The 21,288-nt window shown below is 39.9% G+C and overlaps 1 protein-coding gene and 1 pseudogene across 4 annotated transcripts in view, besides 2 other annotated features; one reads left to right on the forward strand and one right to left on the reverse strand.

Moving 5' to 3' along the window:
- SLC16A1 (solute carrier family 16 member 1) overlaps positions 1-21,288 on the reverse strand; it is a 44,350-nt gene that overhangs the window by 6,265 nt on the left and 16,797 nt on the right. For 2 of the 3 annotated variants that reach the window (NM_003051.4, NM_001166496.2), the window contains exons 2-3: positions 10,981-11,241; positions 3,879-4,022 (exon numbers count right to left, since the gene is read on the reverse strand). In NM_003051.4, coding sequence (NP_003042.3) covers positions 3,879-4,022; positions 10,981-11,197 — 361 coding nt within the window. In that variant the 5' untranslated portion in view covers positions 11,198-11,241. Of the gene's footprint in view, positions 1-3,878; positions 4,023-10,980; positions 11,242-17,712; positions 17,912-21,288 lie in introns of those variants that run through there. The other variant, XM_047428789.1, reaches the window with a different exon arrangement.
- Positions 4,758-5,623: an enhancer, noted in NCBI's record as "H3K27ac-H3K4me1 hESC enhancer chr1:113465491-113466356 (GRCh37/hg19 assembly coordinates)". NCBI's record gives its function as "activates a minimal SCP1, AML or CMV promoter by ChIP-STARR-seq in naive H9 embryonic stem cells {active_cell/tissue: H9 hESC(naive)}" and the evidence as "EXISTENCE:reporter gene assay evidence [ECO:0000049][PMID:30033119]".
- On the forward strand, positions 5,239-6,562 carry AKR7A2P1 (AKR7A2 pseudogene 1; annotated as a pseudogene). Its single transcript, NR_002796.2, has one exon. The product of NR_002796.2 is annotated as an AKR7A2 pseudogene 1 (transcript).
- Positions 5,624-6,488: an enhancer, noted in NCBI's record as "H3K27ac-H3K4me1 hESC enhancer chr1:113466357-113467221 (GRCh37/hg19 assembly coordinates)". NCBI's record gives its function as "activates a minimal SCP1, AML or CMV promoter by ChIP-STARR-seq in naive H9 embryonic stem cells {active_cell/tissue: H9 hESC(naive)}" and the evidence as "EXISTENCE:reporter gene assay evidence [ECO:0000049][PMID:30033119]".

Genomic DNA, 21,288 nt, shown 5'->3' on the forward strand with positions numbered 1-21,288 from the left:
ATAAATAATGGAAGGAATAGGATATAAATCCTCATTATTAGAGGACATGTTATGTAGTGGTTTAAAGTATGACTTCTAAAACAGACATGGGTTCAAATCTCAGTATCAGTGCTTACTGGTTGCATAATCTCAGACATGTATACCCTCCTATGACTGCTTCCTAATATGTAAAACGGGCACAGGTCACTGTTGTGAGGAAGAAAAGATTTGTTAAGCACTTAGTACCCAGTGCCCAGTATGTAGTAAGCACTTAATACATGTTATTTTTATTATTGTTGTTTTTATTATTTGAAGGTGAATAACTATTTTGTCTAATCTAACAAAATCACCGGAAGGATTATTATAACCATATAAGATCATTAAGTCGACAGTAGAGATAAAACAAATTTACACTAGAAAATGCATAAGGCCAGCTGCAGTGGCTCATGTCTATAATCCCAGTGCTTTGGGAAGCCAAGGCGGCAGGATTGATTAAGGCCAGGCATTCAAGACCACCTTGGGCAGCATAGCAAGACCTGTCTCTACAAAAAGTAATTCGAAAATTAGTCAGGTATGGTAGTGTGTGCCTGCAGTCCTAGCTACTTGGGCGGCTAAAGCTGGAGTATCACTTGAGCCTAGAAGTTTGAGGCTATGGTGAGCTATGATCACACAACTGCACTCCATCCTGGGCTACAGAGAAAGAACCTGTCTCAAAAACCCAAAAACGAAAGAAATAACATATAGTACAAAATGATCCCTTCCACTATAGCACCAAAACTTAAAAACAGGCCAATTCCTAAGACTCCAATTGTGAAACTTTCCTGAGAGATCAGAGAATTTAAAATACACACAAAGTTTTGGGAAAATAAAACACAACATTGCTAAGATGCCAAGGCTCCTGAAATGAATGTACTAATTTATTTTATTTATTTATTTATTTATTTATTTATTTATTTTTGAGACAGAGTCTTGCTCTGCCGCCCAGGCTGGAGTGCAGTGGCGCGATCTCGGCTCACTGCAACCTCCACCTCCCGGGTTCACACCATTCTCCTGGCTCAGCCTCCCGAGTAGCTGGGACTACAGGCGCCCGCCACCATGCCCGGCTCATTTTTTTTTTGTATTTTTAGTAGAGACGGGGTTTCACCGTATTAGCCAGGATGGTCTCGATCTCCTGACCTCGTGATCCACCTGGCTCGGCCTCCCAAAGTGCTGGGATTACAGGCGTAAGCCACCGCACCCAGCCTGAATGTACTAATTTAATGCAATCCAATGAAAATGTCAGTGAATTTTACTTTCGGATTAAGGTAAATGATTCTAAAGGATACTTACAGAACAAATACAGAGCTACTAGGAAATTTTTGATGGTGCAGAGGAAAAAGTGGGACCAACCAGAACAAATTATTTAAATGGCTTTACAAAAGCTACAGTCATTAGAGCAGTGTGGCCCTGTTTCAGGAACCAGTAAAAATTCGTCAGTGAAAGTGCAGAAACACTATAGAAAGTCCAGGAACAGAGTTGAAATACATGGAAACATTTAATGTAAGATAAAGTAGCATTTTAAATTAATAGAGAGAAATTATTCAATAAATAGTGCTAGCAAAAGTAATATTCAAAGAACTTCCTCCCTGACCTCATAGCAAACCATTCTTACATTTGTTAATAAGCTCTACGGTCTATGATCCCTTACATTTTCACAAATCTGGTTCCCTGTTGTTATGCAGGTCTCTACTTAAAGTTGATTCTTCAGTGAGCCCTGACCTTCATTGCTTGCCCAGTTCTTCCCTGTCACAACACTCAGTTAAAGGCTTTATATAGCATTTATCACTACCTGATATTTTTCTTATTTATTAATTTATTTATGAGTTGTACTGTTTGTCTCCTCCTATTAAAGAGTGTAACTGCCTGACTTGTTGCTCTATCTCTACAGCACCTAAAATGGTTCCTAACACACATACAGTTGTTGCTCAATAAATATTTCATAAATAAATTAATAAAAGAGCAAATGAACCAACTGATTAACCATGTGGGAACAAATAGAGTTATATTTCTTTTTTCTCATCTTATGTCAGATGTTTTCATCCATTTGGAATTTTTAAATGTAGCTGGGCGTGGTCGCTCATGCCTGTAATTCCAGCATGTTGGGAGGCCGAGGCAGGCGGATCACCTGAGGTCAGGAGTTTGAGACCAGCCTGGCCAACATGGTGAAACCCCGTCTCTATTAAAAACACAAAAATTGGCCAGGTGCAGTGGCTCACGCCTGTAATCCCAGCACTTTGGGAGGCAGCGGCAGGCGGACCATGAGGTCAGGAGTTTGAGACCAGCCTGCACAACATAGTGAAACCCCGTCTCTACTAAAAATACAAAAATTAGCTGGGTGTGGTAGCGGGCGCCTGTAATCCCGGCTACTTGGGAGGCTGCGGCAGGAGAATCGCTTGAACCCAGGAGGCGGAGATTGCAGTGAGCCGAGATCATGCCATAGCAGTCTAGCCTGGCAGTGAGAGTGAAACTGTGTCTCAAAAAAACAAAACAAAACAAAAGAACAACAACAAAACCAGATTTTTAAAATATAAAAACTAAAGTGCAGTAAACAGAAGTGGACAAATATTTTCATAATCTTGGAGTAGAAAACAACTTTCTCAGGATGACATACAAGATGGAAACCATAAAATACGTTTTGAATACATAAAAATTTATATGTTTAATAAGGGAAAAACATTGGAAAAGACTGAATTTTAAAAATACTTTTTAACAAAATTCAACATCAGAAGGCCGGGCAAGGTGATTCACGCCTGTAATCCCAGCACTTTGGGAGGCCGAGGCAGGCGGATCACAAGGTCAGGAGATCGACTATACTGACTAATGCGATGAAACCCCGTCTCTACTAAAAAAAAATACAAAAAATTAGCCAGGCGTGGTGGCGGGCACCTGCAGTTCCAGGTACTCAGGAGGCTGAGGCAGGAGAATGACGTGAATCCAGGAGGCGGAGCTTGCAGTGAGCTGAGATCGCGCCACTGCACTCCAGCCTGGGAGACAGAGCGAGACTCCGTCTCAAAAAAAAAAAAAAAAGAAAAGAAAATAAGGATTAAAACCAAGAGATACTGTTCTCACGTGTTAAACTGGCAATTATTTTTTTAAAAAAGGCAATATCCCATTGTTGACAAAAGGGATAATCTTGGAATCTCTGATATATTGTGGTGGGATAATAAGTGAGTATAACTTTTTTGGAGGACAATTTAGCATACATATATTAAAACAAACACACAGCAGTTCCCTTTCTACAAATTTATACGAAGAATATATTCATGTTCACAAAACTTTCAACTTAATACTGACAAAAATCTGGTTATAAAATATTAGACATAATTTGATCCTTTTTTGCTCAAAAAAAGGTGTATCTGTGCATAGAAAAACACATGGAAGGATATACATAGAAATGTTAATGATATTCTTTGGATTGTGAGGTTATGGGTAACTTTTATTCATTATGCTCATCAACAGTTCATTATCTTAATTTAGTGATTTTTAAAATGGGGGGAGGAATTATGAAGCGTATCCTCTACCCCTCAGAAATGTTATGTGGACATTCTATCAAATTGCCACTCTCGCACCAAGTTGCCACACACATTGTATCTACCACTACTGGCTATTCTTAGGACAAGGAATGCAATCATTCTTTCAATTCATTCACTCATTCGACAAACAATAAATATCCATTATATAATGGCAATTTCTTTAAAAGTTTGCTTTTCTAGTACTTTTATCTCTAGTTCTTCAAAATGATAATCAAGTCATTTCTATAAGAAAAGAATTTCACTCCAGAGATCTGAAAGATGAATGCAGGTAAATACAAAATAGCCAGCCATAAACTAATGCTTCCAAATGAATCAGTAGTAACTCACCTCCAATGACTCCAATACAGACGTATAGTTGCTGTACGGTGTTACAGAAAGAAGCTGCAATCAAGCCACAGCCTGACAAGCAGCCACCAACAATCATGACTATACGACTTCCATATTTATTCACCAGGATACTGCTGATAGGACCTAAAAGACAACCAAAAATGTAGTAATATAAAGGAAACTGCTCCCTCACATCTACACAAGTATGAATGACAATGAATGACAAATCCTCCAAAATAAACAAGCAGCAATGATAAGAATATTGTTTTCTATAATTACTTCTGAGTCACATGTGTACTAAAATAAAGATGTTAGAAAACATAATTAATTGTGCAGGTTCTAAATCTAAAAATACTGGATGGAATTTTACTAAAATACAAAAGACCTGAAGTTATCCTTAATCTTTCTCTTTTATGGCAGGGCAGGCTGAAAACACCTTGGTAATGGATGTTCACAAGGTTCTTGATGTATCTAGGATACGATTAACATGTATGTAGAAAGTGGCTGGGCGCAGTAGCTCACGCCTGTAATCCCAGCACTTTGGGAGGCTGGGGCAGGTGGATCACCCGAGGTCAGGAGTTCAAGACCAGCCTGGCCAACATGGCGAAACCCCGTCTCGACTAAAAATACAAAAATTAGCCAGGCGTGGTTGGCGCGTGCCTGTAATCCCAGCTACTCCGAAGGCTGAGGCAGGAGAATGGCTTGAACCTGGGAGGTGGAGGTTGCAGTGAGCCAAGATTGCGCCACTGCACTCCAGCCTGGGCAATAGAGTGAGACTCTGTCTCAAAAAACAAACAAACAAAACAAAAACATGTTAGTAGAAAGTATGTTCTGTTTTAAATTTCAGACACACGCAGTGATAGGAGACGTATAAATGCATCTAGATTTTAGAGTACTTGTATATTATCATAAATGTGGTTTGTGGTGTTGTGTTTTTTTTGAGACGGAGTCTCACTCTGTCACCCAAGCTGGAGTGCAGTGGCCTGATCTCGCTTACTGTAAGCTCCGCCTCCCGGGTTCATGCCATTCTCTTGCCTCAGCCTCCTGAAAGACAGGGTGGGCGTGGTGGCTCATGCCTGTAATCCCAGCACTTTGGGAGGTGGATGGATCACCTGAGGTCAGGAGTTCAAGACCAGCCTGACCGACATGGAGAAACCTCATCACTACTAAAAATACAAAATTAGCTGGGCGTGGTGGCGCATGCCTGTAATCCCAGCTACTCAGGAGGCTGAGGCAGAAGAATCATTTGAATCCAGGAGGTGGAGGTTGCGGTGAGCCATTGCACTCCAGCCTGGGCAACAAGAGTGAAACTCCGTCTCAAAAACAAACAAACAGCAATCCCTAAAGCCACGCGGCCGCCAACTCCAGGGAGCTGATGCTTCCAACCACTGCACGTTGCTCCCGGGCTGTCGCAGTCTCCTGTTGCCGCCATCATGTCCCGGCCCTCCACGGTGTTGGGTGCCATGGAGATGGGGCGCCGTAGTCACCCGCGCCTTCCTGGAGCACGGCCACACCAAGATAGACACGGCCTTCGTGTACAGCGACAGCCAGTCCAAGACCATCCTGGGTGGCCTGAAAATTGATACCAAGGCCAATCCATTGTTTGGGAACTCCCTGAAACCTGACAGTCTCCGGTTCCAGCTGGAGACGTCACTGAAGTGGCTGCAGTGTCCCCGAGTGGACCTCTTCTACCTGCTCAGGCCAGACCACAGCACCCCGGTGGAAGAGACACTGAGTGCCTGCCACCAGCTGCACCAGGAGGGCAAGTTCCTGGATCTTGGCCTCTCCAACTATGCCACCTGGGAAGTGGCCAAGATCTGTAACCTCTGCAAGAGCAATGGCTGGACCCTGCCCACTGTGTACCAGGGCATGTACAACGCCACCACCCAGCAGGTGAAAACGGAGCTCTTCCCCTGCCTCAGGCACTCTGGACTGAGGTTCTATGCCTTCAACCCTCTGGCTGGGGACCTGCTGACTGGCAAGTACAAGTATAAGGACAAGGACAGGAAACAGCCCATGGGCCGCTTCTTTGGGACTCAATGGGCAGAGATCTACAGGAATCGCTTCTGGAAGAAGCACCACTTCGATGGCATTGCCCTGGTAGAGAAGGCCCTGCAGGCCGCGTATGGCGCCAGCGCCCCCAGCATGACCTCGGCTGCCCTCTGGTGGATGTACCACCACTCACAGCTGCAGGGTGCCCACGGGGACGCAGTCATCCTGGGCATGTCCAGCTTGGAGCAGTTGGAGCAGAACTTGGCAGCGGCAGAGGAAGGGCCCCTGGAGCCAGATGTTGTGGAGGCCTTTAATCAAGCCTGGCAATTGGTTGCTCACGAATGTCCCAACTACTTCCACTAGGCCCATCGTTTCTCAGGTTGCCCAAGGCTCTTCTGTAACCTCTTTTGTTTCTCACACTTTCTTTAATTTAGAAGTGCCTCAGTAAATTCTTAGGGATGGAAGTATTTGGACAAAAACCTAACAGTAAAGTCACCACCAAATGAAGAATGAAACCTCCTGGGGTGCTGTGTGTTAGTCTGTTTGCATTGCTATAAAAGAATACCTGAGACCGGGTCATTTATAAAGAAAACAAACAAACAAAAACAACAACAACAAAAAAAAGAAAAAAGACAAAAATGCATGATCATTTTTTCCAAGTTTAAGTAGTGTTGCAATTAGGTAATCTTGATTAAAAAAGAAAAAGTTCCTAGTTACATCCAAATTCAGGTACTAAACCAAATATATCTTTCAGGGGCCAGGTATGGTGGTGGTGCATGCCTGTAGTCCCAGCTACTCGGGAGGCTGAGGCGAAGAATCACTTGAACCTGGGAGGCAGAAGTTGCAGTGAGATGAGATCGTGCCTGGGCAACAGAGTGAGGTTCTGTCTCAAAAAACAAACAAACAAAAAAAACCCACCCAAATATATCCTTCAGAATTACTTGGTTCCATGCCTATATTATTAAGTTTCATGGTAGTACAATTGTGAAAAAAAATGCTTGCAGGATAAGATTAAATCAGATAACAGTCAACACAACGTGGGTGTAACAACTCAAGAGAATAGGAAATAGTATTATCCAAGAAAACCAGACATTTCCTCAGCTAACTATATGCATATAAAAATCAGCATTTCTAGTATGTGAGAAAAGGAACCAAATGAAAAGCATTATAAGAAACAAGAAAATATTTTATGCATTTCATGTATCAGTTTTTTGCGACCAGTCTCCCTCTGTGGCTGGAGTGCAGTAGCGCAATCACAGCTCACTGCAGACCCAACCTCCTAGGCTCAAGTGATACTGCCACCACTGCCTCCAAAAGTGCTGGGATTATAGGTGTAAGCCACCATGACTGACCTATGTATCAGTTTTTGAGAAGAGGAATCAAATGTCAAGTGGCCTTTCTTTTTTTTTTAAATTTGAGACAAGGTGTTGTTCTGTCACCCAGGCTGGAATGCAGTGGTACTATCAGGGTTCACTGCAGCCTCGACCTCCTGGGCTCATTCAATCTGCCTGCCCAGCCTCCCGAGTAGCTGGGACTTCAGGTGCATGCCACCGTGCCGGGCTAATTTTTGTATTTTTTGTAGAGACAGGGTTTTACCATGTTGCCCAGGTTGGTCTTGTAATCCCGGACTCAAGTGATCCACCTACCTAGGCCTCCCAAAGTGCTGGGATTATAGGTGTGAGCCACCGTGCCTGGCCTTCTCTTCTTACTTGCTATAAATAGGTATAATCTGTAATTTGCCTTTTCCAAATTTCAAAATCTTAATTACAAGAAAGTCTTATCCAAACATAGAGTCTATTTCTAAAAACACATATTGAATGTACATATATTCAGAATATACTAATGATCACATATTGGCATATTCTATTTCCATAAATACTATGAAAAATACTTCAGTTACTTATAGTCTAGTTTTACTATTCAGAGTTGCGGTACAGTATACTAACATTAAAAGGATAGGCTGTAGCCCCAGGGCACCCTGTTTTAAGTTTTGGTTTCACCATATTCTTGTCTGTTTCTCAGAGGTTATTATTAAACTACTTTATAGGATTGTTGAAAGAATAAAAAATTAACTAATATATGTGAGGTGTTTAGTTGGTCCTCAATAAATACTGGCAGTGATCATGATACTGGTGCACATGCTTATTTATGCTTTCACATGACACAGACAGAAGGTGCTCTCTTTCCATCTCCATCCATATAGATATAGATGTTATGTATGTATATATACATAAGATAAGCATGTTAAGAAGGAATTAAAGCTTTTGATTATTCATGTGTTTCATAGGACCAAGTCTCTCTAAGGTGCTACATCAAGAACTGGCCGTTGCCAGGCGCAGTGGCTCACGCCTGTAATCCCAGCACTTTGGGATGCTGAGGCAGGTGGATTACCTGAGGTCAGGAGAGTTCAAGACCAACCTGGCCAACACCATCTCTACTAAAAATACAAAAACTAGCTGGGCGTAGTGGTACACACCTGCAGTCCCAGCTACTCAGGAGGCTGAGGCAGGAGAATTGCTTGAACCCAGGAGGCAGAAGTTTCAGTGAGCAGAGATCATGCCACTGTAGTCATAAGACTTTGTACAGTTAGAATTACAAAGATAAATACCAGGCTAGGCATGGTGGCTCATGCCTGTAATCCCAGCACTTTGGGAGGCCAAGGTGGGCAGATTGTTTGAGCCTAGGAGTTCAAGACCAGCCTTGGCAACATTGCAACAACCCATCTCTACAAAAAATACAAAAATTAGCCGAGTGTGGTGGTGCAAGCCTGTAGTCCTAGCTACTTGGCAGGGTGAAGGGGGAGGACCGATCACCTGAGGCCAGGGAGGCTGAGGCTACAGTTAGTGGTGATTGTGCCACTGCACTCCAGCCTGAGTGACAGAGTGAGAAACCCTATCTCAAAATAAATAAATAAATAAATAAATAATAAAAAAACTTAAAAAAAAAAGGATCAGCTTGGGCCATAGAGTGAGACCCCATCTCTACTTAACAAAAATAAAAAATTAGCTGAGCATAGTAGTAGGGCCACCTGCTACTGGGGAGGCTGAGGCAGGAGGATGGTTTGAGCCTCGGTGGCTGAGGCTGCAGGGAGACATGATCATGCCACTGTACTCCTGGTCAACAGTGAGACCCTGTGTCAAAAAAAAAAAAAAAAAAAATCCCACAAAACAAAGATCAGTATCACCACACTGTTGACTCTGAGGTAGAAGTTAATACTGTAGAAGTTAAAGTTTTTGAAATATTTAAAATTCCAAACCACAAGTGTTAAGGTGACCCTTGTGGAACTGATAAAATTTATACTTTCATGTTTAAAAAAAAAAGGAAAAACAAATAAACAAACCAAAAGTAGGCAGGTAAGATCTCTTCCCCGCAAAATATACTTTAACAACCATCACTGTATATCTCTGACCCAAAGCACTAAAAAAGAAAACAAAACCAACCATATCTCAAGACGTATTAGTGTTCAGATTGTGGTCCAAATGAACAAGTTAAAGGATTATCACAGTTGTAAAAGTGATGAAAACTATTAGGGGATATACTATTTAGAAACCAAACCAAACAAAACAACCCATTTAGTAAAAATTCTGCAACAAGGTTCATGATAGGCATTTTGTCTTTTAGTGTTATTTCAGGAAGGATAGGCCTAATTAGCTATCATTAAAAATAGAAAGGGGTACGGTTTATAGGCCTATTATAATACAAACTCAAAAAAATGTGCTAGTTATCTCACTAATTGAGTAAGGACAAAGAAGGAACTGTTTCCCCAAAGGAAAGTGTCATGTGCAACTAATAAAACTGACATCACTTACTTTTGATGCAAAACACAAGTGGCTTTCTCGCTCTTTGGTAGCACAGAATAGCAACATGTAAACTTCTGGTTTGTAGTCAACTTAAGAAGACACTGAACACCTGGAGTACCTCTGGGTAATGTTTATACCAATTTCTTCAAGCCATCATAGTCAAAACCTGATTAAAATCCTGGCAGAATGGAGTTCAAAGCCTACAAAATTATTGGCTCTCAGAAGCTAATGCCCAAAGTCCATTTTGATTTCTCTGAACTTATTAAAAAAAAACACTACAATTAAGCACTTAGGTTCTTTAATTTGATAGACAAAATAGGCCTATGTTCAAAATGTAAAAGGCACAAAAAGATAAACAGTGGAAACATAAGTCTTCCTAATCCTGTTCCCAGTCACCCAGTTTCTCTTTCTCCATGGCAGCCAGTTACCTGTTTCTTCTGGACGATTTAATTACAGGCTTAATGAAATTATGATTTCAACTGCTTATTCCTGTTTCACGATCATATATTACTGTCTCAAAAGGATTATAAACTTCTCAAAGGAAGGGATCAGTGTTTTCTGTCACTCACAATACCTAGCCCAGTGCTGAATATATTCATAGAACTTGACAGATATTGGTTGACTCTGGCACCACCTTAGCAGCCTAAGGCTAAGTTATTTATAGTTGAAACCAAGAATCATTACATTGGCTAGAAACAGTATTTTAGATGATGTTAAGTGAGCAACTTACTTCCAACATTTCCTTTACAATATGCCAAAAAAAACAAAAGAGAAATAAATGGTAAAATTTAAGTTTAGGGTGCAGCTGAAATGCTTTTAGGACTCATAACATCGCAAGTAATACGGAGGAGGTTTTTTCAGTTAATTCTAACATCATATAAAGATTTTACCTGAGAATCTGAACCATGCCATTCAGGCTAGTCTGATTTATTTTAATCCTCCCAACATCAATTTTTAAAAATCTATATTTATGTTTACATTTCAAGAGTCCAGCAGAGATCAACAAAAAAAATACAGCTGTGAATACATCATTTTTATAACAGTCTTTTAAACTCAATGATACATCAGTTGGAGCAAATCAAGGTCCCTCACAATTTTCTCATTTCTGTTTTGAAATACTACAGTATACTATAGCAAGAGTTGCTATTGTTATCAGGAATGAAAAATGTGACTCTAAACACCAAACTTTAAGAAATAACATTTCAAAACATCTCACTGAATAAGACTTTTTTTTTTTTTTAAAGTTACCTAATACAGACACTCTGGCTGCTTCATGAAAATTAAAAGAGCAGGCCTTAATGGGTACTTACCTCCACCATACATGACAGCCAACATTATGGAGGATATCCATGACACTTCGCTGGTGGTGGCATGGAATATACCTTCAATCTCTTTGAAGAAGACAGTAATTGATTTGGGAAATGCATAAGAGAAGCCGATGGAAATGAAAGCTCCAATTACCACTGCCCAGCCCCAGCCTCCATCTGGGGGGGTGTATCCAACTGGACCTCCAACTGCTGGTGGCATTTTAAGTGTAGATAAATTCCAAAATGCAGGTCAAATCCAAATATCTGAAAGACATAAAATTAAAATAGTATGTCAATATAAGGCACACCTATAAAACTCTTTTGTGAAATAAGAAATATAGCCAATCGTGGTGGATCATGCCTATTAGTAATCCCAGCTACTTGGGAGGTTGAGGCAGGAGGATCATTTGAGGCCAGGAGTTCAAGACAGCCCGGGCAACACAGATCCTGTGTCTAAGAAAATTTTTAAAAAATTAGCTGGGTATGGTGGAGCATGCCTATAGTCCCAGCTACTCAGGAGGCTGAGGCAGGAGGATCACTTGTACTCAGGAGTTTGAGACCACCCTGGGCAACATAAGTAGACCCCAACTTTACAAAAAAATTAAAAAATTAGCCAGACATGGTGGTGTGTGTCTGTGGTCCCAGTTACTTGGGAGGCTGAGGTGAGAGGATCACTTGAACCTGGGAGGTAGTGGCTGCAGGGAGCTGTGATTGCACCACTGCACTGCAGCCTGGGTGAAAGAGCAAGATCCTGTCTCAGTAAATACATAAATAAATTGGTAAACAAGAGACCTGATGAGATTCCAGGTTGGTCATTGCATCCATGTGCAGGGAGGATAGCATACCCCAATTCCACGGGGGAAGAGGCTCCTGTACTTGGGGACCCTTCCAGACTTTGCCCTATGTACTTCTTCATCTGGCTTTCACATGTATCCTTTAAAGTATCCTTTATAATAAACCAGCAAATATTAGTAAGCGTTTCCCTGAGTTCTGTGAGCCTTCCTAGCAAATTAATCAAACCCAAGGAGAGGGGTAGTGGTAACCCGATTTATAGCTGGTGAGTCACAAGTACAGGTGACAAGCTACTACTTATGTATGATTGGCATGTGAAGTAAGGGCCTTAGTCTTGTGCAACTGAGGCCTTAACCTGCGATCTAACTCCAGGTAGCTGAAGTCAAAATTGAATTGAATTACGGGACACCCAGTTGGTGTCTCCTACAATTGCTTGGTATATGTGGGGGAAAAAAACCCCCACACTTCTGGTTACAGTAGTGTTTTGTGATGTGCTGAGTGTTGACTGTGTAAGAGGAAAAAAAAAAGTGTTTTTCTCCTTCAGAACTTTACACCTAGCTCTCGAGTAAATGAATTTTTTTTAATGTTACTTATCCAATAGACATTATCTTCTTTTAAAGACATTATCAGAAAAAGCTTTAGAGTCATAGTATTGCCCATAATTTTTTGTAGCTTAAAGGAAAATAGCTTCTCACCACTTAAGAAATCATAATTGAAATAAATCCCTTTCAATAAATCAGTTAACATCATAATTCCTTAAATTACTTAGATAACCAAATGCCCCATTTGACTTATCTGCTTAACCTAAGATAACACATAATACATAACCTACAAACATTTTAGGTTTTTTTTTTTTTTTTTTGAGACAGAGTCTCACTCTGTCGCCCGGGCTGGAGTGCAATAGCAAGATCTTGGCTCACTACAACCTCTGCCTCCCAGGCGGTTCTCCTGCCTCAGCCTCCCGAGTAGCTGGGACTACAGGCACACGCCATCACCTTTGACTGATTTTTGTATTTTTAGTAGAGACGGGGTTTGGCCATGTTGGCCAGGCTGGTCTCGAACTCCTGACCTCAGGTGATCCACCCACCTTGGCCTCCCAAAGTGCTGGGATTACAGGCATGAGCCACCACTCCCAGCCCCAATGCTACAGGTTTTAATATAGCCTTTATAAGTTTTTTACCTTTTCCAAAATATATTCTTCCATACTCTTTTCATTCTCTTATTTATGGCTGACTTAACATACTAGGAAGTGGGTGCCTGACTCACTAGATATGTAGCAATTTACAAAAAAAAAGATAATTCTGAACACCGAAAATTTTCACTTAACAGGCTGGGGAATTATCTCAGAAAAGTTTCCTTTTATCTTAATAGCTTTGATTCAAGGTATTTTTCCGCATTATATGACAAGAAACTCCTAAACAACAGCTAGCCAATACAGTTAAAATCATAAATATATATATGATGTCAAAAGATGGTAGTTTTAGGCCAGGCGCAGTGGCTCACACCTGTAATCCCAGCACTCTGGGAGGCAGAGGTAGGTAGATCACCTGAGATCAGGAGTTCGAGACCAACCTTATCAATATGGTGAAACCCCATTTCTACTAAAAATACAAAAATTAGCCAGGCATGGTGGCATGCGACTGTAGTCCCAACTACTAGGGAGGCTCAGATAGGAGAATCCTTGAACCCGGGAGGCGGAGGTTGCAGTGAGCCGGGATCATGCCACTGCACTCCAGTCTGGGCGACAGAGTAATACTCTGTCTCAAAAAAAAAAAAAAAAAAAAAAAAGTAGTTTTAAATCAAAGATAACTCCTTTGTCTTGAATTCACTTAGTACTAATGAATAATGAATAGCATGGTTAGAAAATGTAACCTTCTGTTACATTTTCTAATAAGATTTTAATAAGGGGCAGGTGGGAGTGAGCGTTTGGTGGTAGGTTACCTGTTTTCTCATGAAGGTCTCCTTTACTTTAAGCCAACTTCCACCCTATATTACAACTTATCCTGTATGTTAGCAGGTCCATTTCAAAGTACTTCCACTCAGACTATATTACAGCAATGAACACAGGTCAGAGATGACAAGTTCACTCTTGACTACCATGTTCTTTAGTCTATAACACAAACGCTTCTTCATAATATTAGCACTCAACTCCAAAACACTGTTCCTTCCAACCCCTATGAACACTTCAAATACAATTTAGGACACTGGACATTGCGGGAGTATGATGAAAATAGCTCCATACAAGAAGTTTCCTGAAAAGCAAGGATATACTCACCACTTATACACAACATTCTACTATAGGTTCTAGCCAGTGCATGCAGGCAAGAAAAAGAAACAAAAGGCATAAAGAATGGAAAAGAAGAAATAAAATAGGCCAGGTGCAGTGGCTCACACTTATAATTCCAATGCTTTGGAAGACCAATGTAGGAGAATCGTTTGAGGACAAAAATTCAAGAACAGCCTGGACAACACAGCGAGACCCTACCTCTACATAAATTGTTTAAAAATTGGGTGTGGTGGTACACATCTGTAGTCCTAGCTACTTGGGAAGCTGAGGTGGGAGGATCACTTGAGCCCAGGAATTTGAGGTTACAGTGACCTATGATCATGCTGCTGCACTCCAGAGCAAGACCTTGTCTCGGCCAGGTGCGGTGGCTCACACCTGTAATCCCCAGCACTTTGGGAGGCTGAGGCGGGCGGATCACAAGGTAAGGAATCCAAAACCAGCCTGGCCAACATGGTGAAACCCCGTCTCTACTAAAGATACAAAAAATTAGCCAAGCATGGTGGTATGTGCTAGCTACTTGGGAGGCTGAGGCAGGAGAATCGCTTGAACCCAGGAGGCAGAGGTTGCAGTGAGCCGAGATCGCGCCATTGCACTCCAGCCTGGGTGACAAGGGGAGACTCCGTCGCAAAAAAAAAAAAAAAAAAAGGCCTGTCTCTAAAAAATAAATAATAAATAAAGTTGTTTTTATTCAGATGACAGATATGTATAAAGAAAACCCTAAGGAACATCAAATAAGTGAATTTGACTAGGTCTTAGGATACAACATCAATACACAGAAATCAATTGTATTTCTATATATTAACAATGAACAATCCAAATATGAAAACATTTTTAAATGCTATTGTAAATGGTAAACTATATAGAAATAAATCTCACAAAAGATGTATGAGATATGTACACTGAAAACTATAATACTGAGAAGTTAAAATAGATAACCTATCCTCTCGGACTGAAAGACTCAATATTTAAATCAAGCAAAGATTTCTGAAGGAACATAAAGAAACAACTATAAAAAAAGTTGGCCGGGCGCAGTGGCTCACGCCTGTAATCCCAGCACTTTGGGAGGCTGAGGCGGGAGGATCACGAGGTCAGGAGTTTGAGATCAACCTGGCTGTCTCTACTAAAAATACAAAAATTAGCTGGGTGTGGTGGCGTGTGCCTGTAGTCCCAGCTACTCGGGAGGCTGAGGCAAGAGAATCGCTCGCTTGAACCCGGGAGGCGGAGGTTGCAGTGAGCTGAGATCACGCCACTGCACTCCAGCATGGCCGACACAGCGAGACTGCGTCTCAAAAAAAAAAAAAAAAAAGTTTTAAAATTAGACTTCAAAATATATGCAAAATAATATACTCAAGAAAAGACATACCCAGAACATAAAAAGAACTTGCACAACGATAGCAAAAAGGCAAATCACCCAGCTTAAAAAAAAAGCAAAAGATCTAAACAGGTGCTTCACCAAAGATACATGAATGATAAACAAGCACATGTAAAGATGCTGAATGTCGTTGGTTATTTAAAAATGCAAATTAAAATCACAATCTAATACATACCTACTAAAAATAAGACAGATAATTCCATGACTTTGTGGGGTTATAAAGCCAATGGAACTCTCATATTGCTGATGTTACAGTCCCTTGGAACACATTTTGGCAGTTCCTTATAAAGTTATAGATATATTTAACATATGAGCCAGCCATTACAGTGTCAGGTATCACCCAGGATTTATATAAAAAATTCTCTAGCAGCTTGATGCATAATAGCCAAAAACTGAAAACAACCCAATGTCCATCAACAAATGAATGGATAAACAATGGTACAGCCATATAATAGAATACTACTCAGCAATAAAAAGGAACTACTGATGCATGCGATAACATGGATGAATTTTAAAAGCGTTCTGTTAAGTAGGAAAAAAAAGCTAGACAAAAGATTGTATTCTATATGGTCACATTTATATTAAATTGTAGAAAAGGCAAAATTCTAGCACAGGTCAAGCATTTCTCTAATCTGAAAATATGAAACCCAAAATCTGAAACTTTCTGAACACCAGCATGATGCTCAAAGAAAATACTCATTGGAACATTTCGAATTTTGGATTTTTGGATTAGGGATGTTCAACTGCTTAAGTAACTGCAAATATTCCAAAATCTGAAAAAATCTGAAATCCAGAACACATTTTATCCCAGGCATTTTAGATAAGGGATAGAAAACAGATCAGTGGCTACCAGGGGTTGGGGAGAGGAGACTGACTGCAAAGCAGTATGAGATAACTTTTAGGGTAAATGGAAATACTTTATTATCATGATGGTGACAGTTACTCATCAAAGTATACATTCAAGTTAGTAAATTTTATTATGTCAATTATACCTCAATAAAGCTGATCAAAACCAAAAGAAAGTCCAAGGACAGTGACAAGGGGAATAAAATTTGTTCTGTGGCACAGGGAGACAATACAGAAGCAAAAGGAGAGGGCAGGCAAACTTCTTTGTCTTAGTTATCTAGACGGTTAAAAGAAAGAGGAAGAAGACAAAGATGAGGATAAAGAAAAGGAGACAAGAGGAGGACAGAAGATTCTTCTGAGAATTCACAACTCAGGCCAGTGTGAGCTCATGCTTGGCAGGGAATTATCTGTAGAATATCTTTGTTGTTCTTCCAGAGATACACTATATTTGATTTTGCTAGCAAAGATTTCCCACAAAGGCCTGCCAAACATAAGCTCACAATTGTGAACACATCAAGAACCAATTAACCGTGAGCAAACGCAATGCCAATCTAACACAGTTGGATTAGACACTCAGGAACTATAGGCATAGCAATATGAATATTTAAATGACTAAAGACATAAAACAAGGCATTTAAAACATTAGAAAAAACTGTGTATTTCTCTAAAATTATGTCTTTCTCTAAAAAAGATCCATAGAAGAAGATTAATTGATTTGAAATAGAACTAGAAATGGAAAGTAAAGTTAGCCAGGCATGGTGGCTTGTGCCTGTAATCCCAACACTTTGGGAGGCCGAGGAGAGTGGATCACCTGAGGTCAGGAGTTCGAGAACAGCCTGGCCAACATGGTGAAACCCCATCTCTACTAAAAATACAAAAATTAGCCAGGCATGGTGGCACATGCCTGTAATTCCAGCTACTTGGGAGGCTGAGGCAGGAGAATCGCTTGAACCTGGGAGGTTGCAGTGAGCTGAGATTGCACTACTGTACTACAGCCTGGTGACACGGCAAGACTCCGCTTCAAAAAAAAAAGTAAAGTCAGTGAAATTAATAACACATTAACTGGAAGACTGGATGTAGCTATATACAGAGTCAGTAAACCTTAAGAATAGGTTTGAAGAGATTAGTCAGAATTCAGGGGAGTGTCATTCTGAAGCTATGAAAGAAAGGCTTTAGAATGGGAGGATCTGACATTTATCTAATGGGACTTTGGAAAAAGAGAATAGAGAATGGAGAAGAGACAACTGTCTGGGTAAATGACTAAGGGTTAATGACTAAGGATATTATAGACTTGATGAACAATATAAATCCTCAGTTTGAGAAAACAAGATAAAGAGAAAAATCTTAGAAGACAACTACTTAGAAAATACAGATGACTCAGCTAACAAATATTCATACTGACAAAACAGTCTTCCTGACAATTTTGAAAAATTCTCACCTATTATGTCTTCAAATATTGCTTCTCCCCCATTCTCTCTTTTCACTTTTCTCAGACTCCAACTGGATATGGGTTGGACCTTCCCATGCTATCTACTCTCTTACTCTCCCTTCTATGTTGTCATGTTATCATTCATTCCTTTGTTTCTCTGAACTTCATTCTGGATGGTTTCTTCTGTACTTTAGCTGTGTTTGGCACTAAAGATTAAGGTGATGTAACTTAAGATTAAGGTGATGTAACTTACAGGAAATAGCTGGCCAGTCCTCATTTTCAAACCAATCAAGTAAAAGAGATTTCTGTTAAACAAAAGCACACTTCATTTTAATTCAAATAAATGTGTTGATACACATCTCTGTGATAACTATCTCATTTTTATAATAATAATTCTAACTTAGAGAAGGCAGCCGGGGGCAGTGGCTCATGCCTGTAATCCAAACACTTTGGGAGGCCGAGGCGGGTGGATCACTTGAGGTCAGGAGTTCGAGACCTGCCTGGTCAAAATGGTGAAACCCCAACTCTACTAAAAATACAAAAATTAGCTGGGCATGGCGGCAGGCACCTGTAATCCCAGCTACTTGGGAGGCTGAGGCAGGAGAATTGCTTGACTCTGGGAGACAGAGGTTGCTCAGTCTAGGTGACACAGCATGACTCTGTCTCAAAAAAAAAAAAAAAAAAAAAAAAGGAGAAGGCAGGAGTTTGTTGTCCAGATGAAATAATTTTTCAATATTCTCCAATATTTCTGACCTAATCTCTTTTTGGATTTCTATCATGGGACTCTCTCTAGGACTATGCATTCTGGAATTTTCCCTTCCTTTGAGATTTTTATTGCTTAGGACAGTGAACCACCATAAGAAATGGGATGAATAAGAGATACACCTCTCTTTTGTAGTGGGAGTAAAAGGCTTTTGGATAACTCAAGTTGGAAAAGAAAAAGTAGAGATCAGGCATCCATTCTCAAGAGGTAATTTTTAGCTAAGGTTATCTCTCAACCTGAGGATGTGCAGAATAATTCCTTCAAAAATATAACCCAGTTTAAAAATTGAAGGTCTTTGTCCTAGGGCATTTCATCTACCTAGGATTTGGGTGAGATAAAAATATTTACAAGTTAAGGTTTCCTAAAATTTCTACTGGAATGAATATGATTAAAAGCTATTTAACAGGTCAGCTCTGCTAACAGCAACAGCCTGAATTCTAAAATGATGTTAAATAAAACTGCTGCAGGCATTGATTTTATGAGCTTTTTCTTCTTCTAAGTATGAAAAAAGAGAACACTTAAAAAATTTCAAAGAACCACTAAAAAGATTAATTCATCTCAGAATATTTACACACATAGAACACCCACACACAGACAGTAGGGCTGTTTAACACATCAAGCTCTGACTAGAACAGCTAATACGTGCTGGACGTGATTAAACTTTGAGTTTAGCTGCCAGCTATGATTTGTCCCAATTAAGGCAGTTACAATTTTTAGTCACTAAAGCTTGCCTCATCAAGTTAATACCTTATTCCACAGTGCCAAAATTAGATTTAAAGCCTCAAGAAACTTTAGAAAAATTTAAAAGGAAATAAGAAAGTATAAGAAATAAGAGCATGCAAAATCATTATGAAAAACAGAACACTTCAAAAAACCACACACAGATTCAACACAATTCTGCCACCACCTGACAAATGGCTATCCCTGTTAACTTAAAAATACTGATGGTACATAACTGAAAAAAAAAAGTCAGTTAATATTATCTAAGCATATTATTTCCTTTTTTAACTGGCAAATCTCAGCTATAAACAGAAGGGCTCATTCAAAAAGTAAATTATGAGAGCAGGCCCCCTTGCAGAGTACTCAGAGTTCCCTTGAGAAAGCAGAGCACATGCATTCTTTGTATGCTAAAGCCCAGAGGCTAAAAGGGACTAAAGTTTAAGATTTTAATCCTTACAATATGCACAGTAGCTTTCCTATCAGCTTAGCTATTACTGCCCAAGAGTGATGGGGAGACTAAAAAACAAAGTGATAGGGTAATGAGAAAAATTCTTCATTAATTCATCTTCTAAAGGATGATAGAAAACAATAACCCTAACTTTTCTTGGCAATGACGGTGATAAGAATCACCTTCTAGATTTTCTGATATTTTTTTCTCGTAACTCTCATGAATTGTGCTAGTAAACTAATCTGGAAAGCCGAAGCTGTGCTCCATACCTGCCATGTCCTTGCCCCACTCCCAAAGAGAAGAGCTACAAAAGCCTTGAAAATAGTATTCATCATGTTCTGTACACTTTCCTCATCAACATTTAAAATGAAGCCACTGTCTTTTCCTAAAATGACAATGACCAGTTTGTGAACTTAAAAGAAGCAGAAAGTATCTAAAACCAATAACCTTAAAATAATCTGTTAATGAGTGTAAACTAGTTTTAGGTTTCAAACACATGGAAACATTCAAATCCAGAAAGGCTGATTTCCTGAAGCTATTGCTGCTAAAGTAGATAACCTGTTGTTCTCTGTAACTAGCCCTAATGCAGCTTCATGGTTTACAGAACCACCTGTCCCAAGTTAACTCCCAAGATTCAAAGTCTAGGAAACCTCACTTTCGTTTCTTTTCCACTTTGAAACTGAATACATTGAGGAAACCAAAACAATGAAAAAATCAAGCAGAAAGCGCTAGTCAAAGAAGGAATGTAACTACTGGATCTGGCTAGCCAAACACTCAGCAATTACGAAATGCATAATTTTGATCAAACTGCATATAAAGAATCTTAAAAAATATAAACCTGTCTCTGCAAACTTCCAACTCTCTTTACCTACCCTGCCATTCTGGGAAAATCCTATCCACATTACAAGAAGTTAAATATATTATGCTTATAAGAGAAATTAACAACTTGCTAACTCGAATGCTTAAAGAAGGATTTTAGGCCTATCTTTCAGAATTCTGTTTATGATAATTGATTTTAGACCTTGCTTTTAATTCATATTTATAATCCCTAAAAAAATCAGTATTTTAGTTAATAATTTACAGTTTAAAATTATTTACATAGACCACTCTACCAATAAATAGAAAGCATTTCTTTTTTTTTTTTTTACCTTTTTTTCTTTTTTGAGATGGAGTCTTGCCCTGTTGCCCAGGCTGGAGTACAATGGCGCGATCTCGGCTCACTGCAACCTCCGCCATCCGGTTTCAAACGATTCTCCTGCCTCAGCCTCCTCAGTAGCTGGGATTGCAGGCACACGCCACCATGCCCAGTTTTTTTTTTTTTAACTTTTAGTAGAGACAGGTTTTACCATGTTGGCCAGGCTGGTCTCGAACTCCTGACCTCGTGATCCACCCGCCTCAGCCTCCCAAAGTGCTGGGATTACAGGCGTGAGCCACCGTGCCCGGCCAACGTATTTCTTTTTAAAGACAGCAGATTTCCAAAGAACAAGAATTGGTAAGGATGTGGAGAAAAGGAAACCCATGTACACTGTTGGAGGGAATATAAACTGGTGTAGCTGTTATGCAAAACAATATGAAGATTCTTCAAAAAATTAAAAATACAATTACCATTTGATCTAGCAGTCATACTTCTGGGTATATATCCAAAGGAACTGAA

This window comes from Homo sapiens, chromosome 1 (assembly GCF_000001405.40).
Source record: "Homo sapiens chromosome 1, GRCh38.p14 Primary Assembly".
In the NCBI taxonomy this organism is placed as follows: Eukaryota; Metazoa; Chordata; class Mammalia; order Primates; family Hominidae; genus Homo; species Homo sapiens.